At 37.4% G+C, this 11413-nt stretch overlaps 1 pseudogene across 4 annotated transcripts in view; it reads right to left on the bottom strand.

The window, feature by feature from the left end:
• LOC107984974 (SMAD specific E3 ubiquitin protein ligase 2 (SMURF2) pseudogene) overlaps positions 1-11413 on the bottom strand; it is a 38254-nt pseudogene that overhangs the window by 13302 nt on the left and 13539 nt on the right. The window contains exons 3-6 of one of the 4 annotated variants that reach the window (NR_171382.1): positions 9105-9154; positions 1849-1971; positions 1025-1105; positions 166-236 (exon numbers count right to left, since the gene is read on the bottom strand). The product of NR_171382.1 is annotated as an SMAD specific E3 ubiquitin protein ligase 2 (SMURF2) pseudogene, transcript variant 4 (transcript). The remainder of the gene's footprint in view (positions 1-165; positions 237-1024; positions 1106-1848; positions 1972-9104; positions 9155-11413) is intronic. The other 3 variants (NR_171379.1, NR_171380.1, NR_171381.1) reach the window with 3 other exon arrangements.

The raw sequence follows: 11413 nt of genomic DNA, 5'->3' as shown, positions 1-11413 counted from the left end.
AATCGCTTGAGCCCAGGAGGTGGAGGTTGCAGTGAGCCAAGATCCCACCATTGCACGCCAACCTAGGCGACAGCAAGGCTCCGTCTCAAAAAAAACAAAAATAGGACTAAAATTAAGTTGCCAAGAATTTACATGCAGTCCTTTCTACATATAAGACATAAATACCTGACACTTCATTCATTCCCTTCATTCTCCAGCCAGCCTCCCCCGGACAAGTCTGGCAACGATTCTGACCACTGGGCACAAGAAATTACCTCTTTTCAGTTTATGTTAGGACAACCTACATGGGTTTACATTTGGCTTAATATAATACTACCCTACTTCTCCAATAAGTATTTAAGCATTTATTTAAAAAACAGAAACTTTTCAATTTAACCACTTCTACTACCCTAGTCTCTCTGAAAAAGACATGACATGCCTAACTTCAAGGAAAAAAGGGTCCTTTTTCCTCACAAAGATTTCCTTATAAACTTTGTTTTTTAAATGCTTTTAAAACCAGATTCTAATTTAATTAATATAGATTTGCAAAACTATGAAGAAAAAGCCTTGCCGGTTGTTGCTTCGCTTAATTTCACGATTTAGGAAATTGCAACTACGTATTTAATACAAAGCAGCCTTGGGGAGCGCGGGGGGTGGGGGGCGCGTGGTGGGGTGGTGATTGTGTTTAACAAAATGCATCTCAGCACCAGCCTAGAGAAACTTTTCTGTGTGAAAACAGAAGAGGGGTTACCATGGAGAAATTCATTACGGATTTCGGGAGGGCTTTTTCCTCAGAAATAGAGAGAAAAGTGAAAGTCATTGTGTAAGAAATCTGATACTGATGCTGTGTGACTCAGAAGTTGTCCAAAAGTTCATCTTCGGCAATTATGTCTAGATGATCAACTACACATCTTCTGCAACAGGTGACACGAAACTGCATTTCCCAAGCAAGACAAAGTGATCAAATGAGTTAAGACGCACTTTCCTGCGGTCGTGTACTTGTATTTTTGATTTAACCAAAACAATTTTGAATCGGATGAATTACCAAATTTGGTTGGGTCTTGTTCGGCTTTCTGTGCTTTTTAATCAGCCATTTACCAGCAACTGTTGCACGGGCCCATCAGCACTAGAAGAATAAAAACAAACACACAGGACCAGGTAAGGTTCCCCTACTAACCCAAATGATCCGTTTCCTTAACACAATTTAAAAACCACAGCCAGGGGTGTGAAAACAGGCAAGTTTTTCCGTGTGTCTGTGTGCCACAATCCATCCAAATCCTTAATTCTCTTTTAAGGAACAGATATACAATAAAAATCCGAAAGAAACCTCATTAGAAATGCAAAGAGGTTTGCAAAACAAGAGGCTTCTTTCATTCCAGAAAACCACACCAAAACAAGGGGAGAAAAATGAATGCAATGGATATGTTTGCCAAAGTTTCAATCCTGCCCGGTGCAGACACTGCACTGGCACAAATTTTTTGAAGAGGAAAAAGGGGTTGGTTGGTGGGGGAGAGACAGTGAGCGAGTGTGGCCTGCAAACTGCAACAATGCAATCTCCATTTTGAACAATGCACCTCTTTCCTCTTGTAAATCTAGTATTTTTGCCACCTGATGTGTCCTCGTATTTCCCGTTTCAGGGGTCGGCGGGGTTGGGAGGAGATCGGAGCAGGATGCACAGCACAGGATTGAGCAAGGGGGGAGGACAGAGGAGATAGGGAAGGAATCTGCAGCAACTGGGCTGGGTGGGTACTTGGAGTGCTACTGTAGGCAGATCCCCTGAGGTCAGGAGTTCGAGACCAGCCTGGATAACATGGTGAAACCCCGTCTCTATTAAAAATACAAAAATTAGCTGGGCGTGGTGGCACTTGCCTGTAATCCCAGCTATTCCAGAGGCTGAGGCTGGAGAATCGCTTAAACCAGGGAGACGGAGGTTGCAGTGAGCCAAGATCACGCCACTGCACTCCAGCCTGGGCGACAAGAGTGAAACTCCGTCTAAAAACAAACAAACAAACAAAAAATCAAGATGGTTACCTTCTTTTCTTTTTTTTTTTTTTGAGACGGAGTCTCGCTCTTTCACCAGGCTGGAGTGCAGTGGCGCCATCTCGGCTCACTGCAACCTCTGCCTCCCAGGTTCAAGTGATTCTCCTGCCTCAGCCTCCCAAGTAGCTGGGACTACAGGCACGTGCCACCACACCCGGCTAATTTTTGTATTTTAACTAGAGACTGGGTTTCACCATGTTGGCCAGGATGGTCTTGATCTCTTAACCTCGTGATCCTCCCGCCTCAGCCTCCCAAAGTGCTGGGATTACAGGCCTGAGCCACCATGCCCGGGCAAGGCCGCTACTTTCTATCAACTCTGTATCATAATTCATTTAATGCAAAAGAGGCAAATCACTATAGAAATGTAATAATCTTAATATTTTTACAAAGATATTGGCAGAGGTTGAAGGGCTCTAAAAAAAAAGGAAAATAAAGAGTTGCTAGGGTTTTTTTCCCCATGATTACAATTACAGTACAGTAATGTATGGCAAGTTTAGAACAATAAGTCTTATTACTCCTGGTACTCTCTCAATATTGATTAGTTAATTCATCCTAAATTTCCTTTTTTTTTTTTTTTTTTTCTGAGACAGAGTCTCGCTCTGTCGCCCAGGCTGGAGTGCAGTGGCGCGATCTCGGCTCACTGCAACCTCTGCCTGCCGGTTTCAAACAATGCTCCTTCCTCAGCCTCCCGAGTAGCTGGGACTACAGGCATGCGCCACGATGCCCGGCTAATTTTTTGTATTTTTTTAAGTAGAGACGGGGTTTTACCACGCAGGCTGTTCTCAAACTCCTGACCTCGTGATCCGCCCACCTTGGGCTCCCAAAGTGCTGGGATTACAGGCGTGAGCCACTGCGCCTGGCCCTAAATTTCCTTTTCAAAAATACCATAATCTACCTCACATCTGTAAAAGAGCTAACAGACATATCTGGAAGCTAAAGTGATCTAAAAACAATTATAGTGATTTTTAACAGTTTAAACAAAATGAGTAAATATCATAATAACCTGGGTATAAAATTTTGTATAAAAAATAATTGGAGTTAAAATTTAACCATTTATACACTTAAATGGATGCAATTTATTACATGTAAGTTATATCTCATTGATATTAATTAAAAATACTTTGAATGTTAAAAATAAAATCAGAAAAGAGTCAGAACTAGTATCAAAGAGACCAATGATAAAAATCATGACTTTAGAATCAAGACAGGTTTGTGTGTTTTGGCTCTGCCACTTACTATGTGGCCTTAGGCAAATTACTTAACTTCTGTAACTCTTAGTTTTTGAGGGTAACAATAGTAGTAGCGATAGAAATAATAGTAGCTAATTATTTATGAAGCACTTATTTTATGAAAGACACTGTACTAAAGTGCTTTACCTGAATTATTTCATTTAATCCTCTCAACAGTTTATGGAGTATGTACTATTATCACTCATACTGTTTTGTAAATAAATATAAACCAAAGCCCATGGAAGTTAAATAAATCAAGGTCATAAAGCCAGTACACAGAAGAGTAAAGCTTAGAATTCAGGTGGTCTGATTTCAGTAGCATGGCTATATACTGCCTTCCAATATGCTATGAGAATTAAATGATATGTACGTAAAGTGTTTATAACATTATCTGACATATACATGCTCAATTAAATGTTACTGTTATGTTAATTACTATTACACAAATTATCCATCACATCCCTCTTAAATACAGCAATGTTTCTAATTTAGCACTTGCATGGCCTGTTTTGAATAATCCACCAACTTTTTTTTAACTAGATAATATTTACAAGAGAGTTATATTTGTCAAGAAATTTCATTTGTCTCCTAGTCAAAACTCTTAATAACCAAATTTAACACACCTAATTTATGGCTTATTTTATAAATTTGTTGTGACAGGATCTTCCATCAATTTTACCATTAGAAGGAATACCTACATTCAATATACAGTAAACACCATTTAATACACAATAAACACCAATTTATTTCTAGCCATTTAAGGATATTATCTATATAATTCTCTAATGATTTCAGTGATGTTACCTTACTTGTCTGGTAAATCATTATCAAATAAATGACTGCAGTCCATAACTTGTCTTCCTGTACCAATTTGGTCTCTGGACTGAAGACTTACTATTAAATGATAGAAATATTACTAAGATTCATACAACTAGAAAGAATTATTATAATCAAAAATTTCTATCTTTAGAAGACATCTGGCTTAGCTTATTTTAATACTTTAGAATGACCTCTTTGGTTTCTACTAAAATTTATAATTTCTTTTCCCATAGATTTTTCCCTTTAGGAGTAGTATTAGAATTCTAAAGTTTTCTACACTTCATCATGTTCATGGAAGAAGCCTAATTCCTTCTTTACCATAGTAACAGGGCATAGCAGAGTCACTACTGTACTTAAGAAGAGGCATAACATATTAAGAATATATTCATGTACAAAGGAGTTTGAAAAGTCCACATTAAGTTTAATACTTGATAATCTCACCATCTAAAAAATACACTGGGCCGGGCATGGTGGCTCACGCCTGTAATCCCAGCACTTTGGGAGGCCAAGGTGGGTGGATAACAAGGTCAGGAGATCGAGACCATCCTGGCCAACATGGTGAAACCCCATCTCTGCTAAAATACAAAAAGTAGCCAGGCATGGTAGCCTGTGCCTGTAGTCCAAGCTACTGGGGAGGCTGAGGCAGGGGAATCACCTGAACCTGGGAGGCAGAGGTTGCAGTGAGCTGCAATTGCACCACTGCACTCCGGCCTGGTGAAAGAGCGAGACTCCGTCTCAAAAAAAGAAAAAAAATACACTGTATTCTAGAGCAAGAGGGCCATCCTGGTATTCCAGCAAGAGAGCAATCCTTGGATTCCATGAGTTTTAACAGGACACCATTATCCAGTGTAGTATATAAAACCACCACAAAAAATGAAGAAGCAAGAGATGTGAATTCTAGAGCAAGCTCTAGTAACCAGTTTAGCACTGTAAACTTGAACAAAACACTTAATAAGCAAGGTTTAGATAATCCCCATCTGAATAATGAGAAAGTTAGCTTAATTGATATCACTGAAGTCCTTCTTTGCTGCTCCAGTATTGTTTAATTCTAATTCTAGTAACTCTCCCAAAAGACAGAAAGAAGTACAGTCAAACTTGACTATAATCCAACTTCTTAAATAATAGGTTAGCACAAAAAGTATTATTACATCTAATGACCCTTCATTCAAAGAAGGGTCTCAAAATTCTGAAATCTTCCAGTTCTGTGAACATTTTGAAAGATCAGTTCAACATAGAGCTCCTTTACATTAAGTCCCATTTAGAGGACAGAACACTACAAACACCTACTCAGCAAATGTAAACAAAACATTATTATGAAAACTGTGCTAGACAACTATATCCATCAGTTTTTAAATAGATAAAATAAGTGAAATGCTTATCAAAATACAATCACAGTAGAAACAATGTATTTTCTCGTTAGCTTTGTTTAGAATAATAGTAAGATTCAAAACTAAAGAATTTCATGGGCTTCAATTTACATCTCCAGAATGCTGTGTTAATAGCAGAGCTATTAACTGGTTAAATGAATTACATACCCACCATGGACTACCACACAACATTAAAAATGCTATAGATTTTGCAAGCCTTAATGCAAAGTAGGAAAAAAAAAGGAACAATGCTATAGAAATGTATTTATGGGCCAAAAAAACAAAGATGTTTATGATAAATTTAAACCAGTTTTTAAAAATTCAGTATAATCTCATTTTTTAAAAAAATACATAGAAAAAGTACACATCCAAGTGATAACGATGCCAATACAGTAGATTTCCCGTGCTCAAATGATCCTCCCACCTCAGCCTCCCAATGTAGCTGGGACATCACAGTTTTAAACAAGGAAAAAAGTTTGTACTCCTTGAATCAATTATCTCAACTTGGGAGATTTTTTTTTCATACAGCAATGATTCTAAAAAAGAAAAAAGCAAAGTGTACAAAAATGTTTGCAAGTTTCAATGTTATAATAGCAAAAAAAATTTTTAATTATTAAGTTGTGATATATCTATATACTTCATCCTTTAAAAATCATTAAATATGGCTGGACATGGTGGCTTACACCTGTAATCCCAGCACTTTGGGAGGCTGAGGTGGGCAAATCACCTGAGTTCGGGAGTTGGAGACCAGCCTGACCAACATGGAGAAACCTTGTCTCTACTAAAAATACAAAAAAAAATTAGCCAGGCGTCGGGGCGCATGCCTCTAATCCCATCTACTTGAGAGGCTGAGGCAGGAGAATCTCTGGAACCTGGGAGGTGGAGGTTGCAGTGAGCCAAGATCGCACCATTGTACTCCAGCCTGGGCAACAAGAGTGAAACTCCGTCTCAAAAAAAAAAAAAAAAAAAAAAAAAAAAATATATATATATATATATATATATATATATATCATTAATTACAAAGATTATAAATACTAAAAACGATTATGGTAAGTGAAAGAAAGCAAAGTAGAAATTTAATCTTCACTGGAATTAAAGACATAAATATATACATTTTATATACATATTTATGTATATAAAGACACTAGAGGGGAATATAGTTTTTAAAGTTAGTCCTCTAGTGTTCTTTTCTCCATTTTCCAAAAAGTATATATACCTACTTACAATTATTTGTTAGAGGGCTAATTCTGAAAGAACTGGAACTCATTCTGTTTTTGAATGACAGAACTAAAGAATCATAATGTTTGAGTCCAGCCTCCCTCTCTCTTATTAATGGTCCTATTATGAACAGCAGATTCACACAAGAGCTTTAAATAAATACATATATATACACATATACACATATTTAAGAGTAAAACATTTGTTTTCTATGTAGTATACTCCAGTAGGTATATTTCTTTTTTCTTTTTTTTCTTTTTTTTTTCTGAGATGGAGTTTCACTCTTGTTGCCCAGGCTGGAGTGCAATGGCATGATCTCGGCTCACCGCCACCTCCGCCTCCCAGGTTCAAGTGATTCTTCTGCCTCAGCATCCTGTGTAGCTGGGATTACAGGCATGTGCCACCACGCCCAGTTAATTTTGTATTTTCAGTAGAGATGGGGTTTCTCCATGTTGGTCAAGCTGGTCTTGAACTCCCGACCTCAGGTGATCTACCCACTTTGGCCTCCCAAAGTGCTGGGATTACAGGTGTCAGCCACCGTACCTGACCTCCAGTAGGTATATTTCTAATGTCTAACAAAGTCTGCTATTTATATAAATGCAAATTCACATCTAGTAAAACTATTTTGTTACTACTAGACAGTAGTTGGCAAGCATTATGTAACATAATAAATCAAATACAGAAGGAACACTTATATGTGAAAGTACTGTTATGACTGAATTGATTTTTGAGATTTTTTTTGTTTTTGCTTCCTTCTCAATCTAAGGATGACAGGAATTATCAGTAATGCTGTAGTGTAGATAAGGGATCCCCAACTCCCAGGCCATGGATGGATGGGGTATTGGTCCAGGGTCTGTTAGGAACCAGGCCGCACAGCAGGAGTGAGTAGTGGGTGAGTAAGCATTACCGCCTGAGCTCCGCCTCCTGTCAGATCAGTGGTGACATTAGATTCTCATAGGAGCACAAACCCTACTGTGAACCACACACACAAGGGATCTAGGTTGCCTGCTCCTTATGAGAATCTAATGCCTGATGATCTGTCACTGTCTCCCATCACCCACAGATGGGACCATCTAGTTGCAGGAAAACAAGCTCAGGGCTCCCACTGATTCTACCTTATGGTGAGTTGTATAATTAGTTCATTATATATTACAATGTAATAATAATAAAGTGCACAATAAATGTAATGCATTTGAATCATCCTGAAACCAACTCCACCCCAGCCTGGTCTATGGAAAAACTGTCTTCCGTGAAACCGGTGCCTGGTGCCAAAAAGGTCGGGGAGTGCTGGTGTAGATACTTCCCTAAGATAACCAGAGTAGGGCTTTGCTATGTGGCTACCCTGGTAGTTCTCCATGAACCCAATTCACTGCCTTGTGAAATGAAGTCCTTCAAGTACCTTCGGTAATTAAAACCTCTATGATGGGTTCATAACAAAATAGTCTTATTCTAAGTTCTGCTTCATCATGAAGTGTGACAGTCTTATTGGATTTTTCTTTTTTCTTTTCTTTTTTTTTTTTTTTTTTTTTGAGACAGGGGCTTGCTCTTGTCACCCAGCTGGAGTGCAATGGTGTGATCTCGGCTCACTGCAACCTCCGCCTCCTGGGTTCAAGCGATTCTCCTGCCTCAGCCTCCAGAGTAGCTGGGATTACAGGTACTCATCACTATTCCCAGCAAATTTTTTGTATTTTTAGTAGAGATGGGGTTTCACTATGCTTGCCAGGCTGGTCTCGAACTCCTGACCTCAGGTGATCCACCTGCCTCAGCCTCCCAAAGTGCTGGGATTACAGGCATGAGCCACTGTGCCCGGCAACATTTTTCTTCTTTAATTTAAGAAGCCTCCAAGATGAACAGTGTCCTTCCATACTATGCATCTTGATCAAATCTCTATCAATTCTTAAGAAAGGTCTCAGCAAATTTTATGTGAAGCCTTTCCCTCCAGGTCAATTCAAGACACCTAAATACCATATAAGGCTACTAAGTGCCTCATGAGTAAGGTAACAATTTCTCCCTTTTTCCAGTGTTACACTAACATTGCTCATTCTGTTTTTTTCAATTGGCATAGATTTTAAAGCTGTAAAGCATTAAACATTAAAACAAGTTCAATAGAATGTTGTCTTCTTACTAAAAAAACTAGTTTGAGAATTATTTTCAGTAAACTTTAATAACATCTATAAAGTCTGAACTCAGTGCTCTACTATGTTAGGATACTTTGAAAAAATTATTTCCTAAAGGATCAACAGTTCTTCATGACACTTTTTTTTTACATTAAAGTTTTAAAAATTAAGTTAACCTGGATCCTGGATTCACTGTAACATTTTACCTGATTCATTTAATTCAGGCCAACACTATGAAGCTACAGTTAACATACTTTGATTTAAATGGTATTTAGACTTTAGGTCAGTTTGAATGAAACCAAAATTCATGTAACTTTAAATTCACACTTACTTACCGTCTTCTAACTGTCCTTTGGCCCAGGTTTGCATAAATCCAACCTCTGATCTATTTGAAATCAACAAAGAAAGAAATGAAAACATTAGCTGGTATCAGAGATTCTCATGTCTATAGAGTGACAATAAATTTCCACAATCCATTAGAAATCAAACCTATCATTTAAAGAATTCAGATTTCAAAAACTACGAAACACTGGTGTACTTCATTGCCAACATGCAGTCACTTTCTCTCCAAAACTTTTAGACCACTTTAGTCTGTCTTAATAGTTGTTGGTCTTAAGGAATTTATCCGTGAGCCTTGGTTTTCTCATATATGGCAATATGTGAATCCTCATATTTTTTAAGGATTAAATCAGATAATTATGCAAAACTCACAGCATAGTGCCTGGCACATGAATGGTCAACAAATGTTAGCTGTCATTATTATTTTTTAACTAACCATTTCAAATGACATGCACACAAAAAAGTATTAATAAGAAGCCAAGAATAAACTGTAGAATCTGGGTTTGCATCAGTTCTGCCACTAATTCATTCAGGAGCAACTCATTTATTCTCTCAGATGCCTCATCTGTAAAAGAGATATAACACTGGCCTGACCCTGAAAGTTACAGTAAGGAACAATGTCACCCAAAGCATGCTGGTTTTACTTTGATTACAGTACTTACAGCTGAATAATTTTACAACCGTATGCCATCTGTCTACTTATTTGTGAATTGATAAAAGGAGGAGACCATATCGTAGTCTTTGTATTTTCCACTCCAACCCAGTAGAACATTGCATCAGGTAGGTGCTCAATAAATATTTGATAAATTCAATATTACTGCACATGAAAAAAGTCAAATAAATTAATACAATGAAACAGTCACAAGAAACACAAAGAAAAATCCATGCCCCTAAACTACAGTCCCTGGTTATCCAACCAAAAATACAGACACTTTTCTCTTTGCAAAATAAATGGGTGCTGCTAAGTTGGCTACACAGTGGATTCTGCAGAGCAACTCCTCTCCTATTCAGTCCTTCCCATGCGGCATGCTCCCTTTGCCAGCAGGCCTTTGCCCTTCCTTCTCAGAGGACAGGGTTCATGCCTCTTTCTCCTTTATACAGCCAGGGTTTAGAACAGTAGCACATTAAGTCTTCAATAAACATTGGCTAAATTGAACTAGGGATAATGTCAGACGTTTGACCTATAATTTTTCAGTTTGCTGAGTAAGAAAACAGTTCATTTTTATGTGCAACTTGTTTTTTCCAATCCCACTGTCCTTTCTCTCCTGTTGGTTACCCCGTCAGCCCAGAAATACAAGAACTTCTCAGATGCCTTTAAATACCTTGGACTAAGAACTTCTAGCTCAGTTTTCTGCCTTTTTCTTTTTCACAAGGTCAATATATACCTATGCTGTGGTATCATACTACATTAAAAGAGACAATCTCTTAATATATTTAACATTCAATGCTAAATTTACTCCTTTTCTGTTTATTAATTTCTTTAGCTCTTATGTGAGTTTGTTTAGCATATGCATCTGGGCTAAAATCCCATTACAAAGACTAACAGTATTTTTTACATTATATACACAAGAATTCTATAGAAACAAACACACACACAGAAAACCTGTTGAAAAAGGAATTCCCATTTATGTTCCAATGGAAAGACCCACCCAAAAGACCGTCACCTGGTTATGCTAAGTCACCTTATAAATCCATTATGAAAACCACTTCTAATGTCTTGATCTTGGTCTAATCTTCTAAACGCCCAGGTTGATGATAAACTGAGCTACAGTTAAGTAGTTCATAGAGCCGTCATACACTCAAAATAATGTTTAATCTTTCTTTAACTTTTAATTTTGTCACAGCAGTTTTATATATTATACCATTCTTATCCCTTCGTAATTGCTCTTTAACTGCCACCTTAAAGACCCCAATCACCTAAATAAAAACATGTTGTCCACAAATCCACCACAACCAGAAAAGGGTACTAAGAAATTTTAAAAGGTATGTAAATCCTGACACCTTTTTTTTTTGCCATTCTAGATATCAATCATTTCTTAATACTTTTAAATTAACTGGAAATGAAGCATCAGCTCTCATTTAGCTGTAAGTTTCACATATTTAAAACGTTTCATTTTTTTTAAGTCTACAAAATAAATTTAGACCAGGAATTTTTACCAATGTTTCAGACATACACAAGAAGTTATGTTTGAACCCCTACCAACATACTCAAATATATATATCCTTCATATATATTTGAGAATACATATATACTACATGTATATATGTATATGCACACATACATATACACACACACATATGTATA

This window comes from Homo sapiens, chromosome 17 (assembly GCF_000001405.40).
Source record: "Homo sapiens chromosome 17, GRCh38.p14 Primary Assembly".
In the NCBI taxonomy this organism is placed as follows: Eukaryota; Metazoa; Chordata; class Mammalia; order Primates; family Hominidae; genus Homo; species Homo sapiens.
This window is presented reverse-complemented; position numbering and strand designations above follow the sequence as displayed.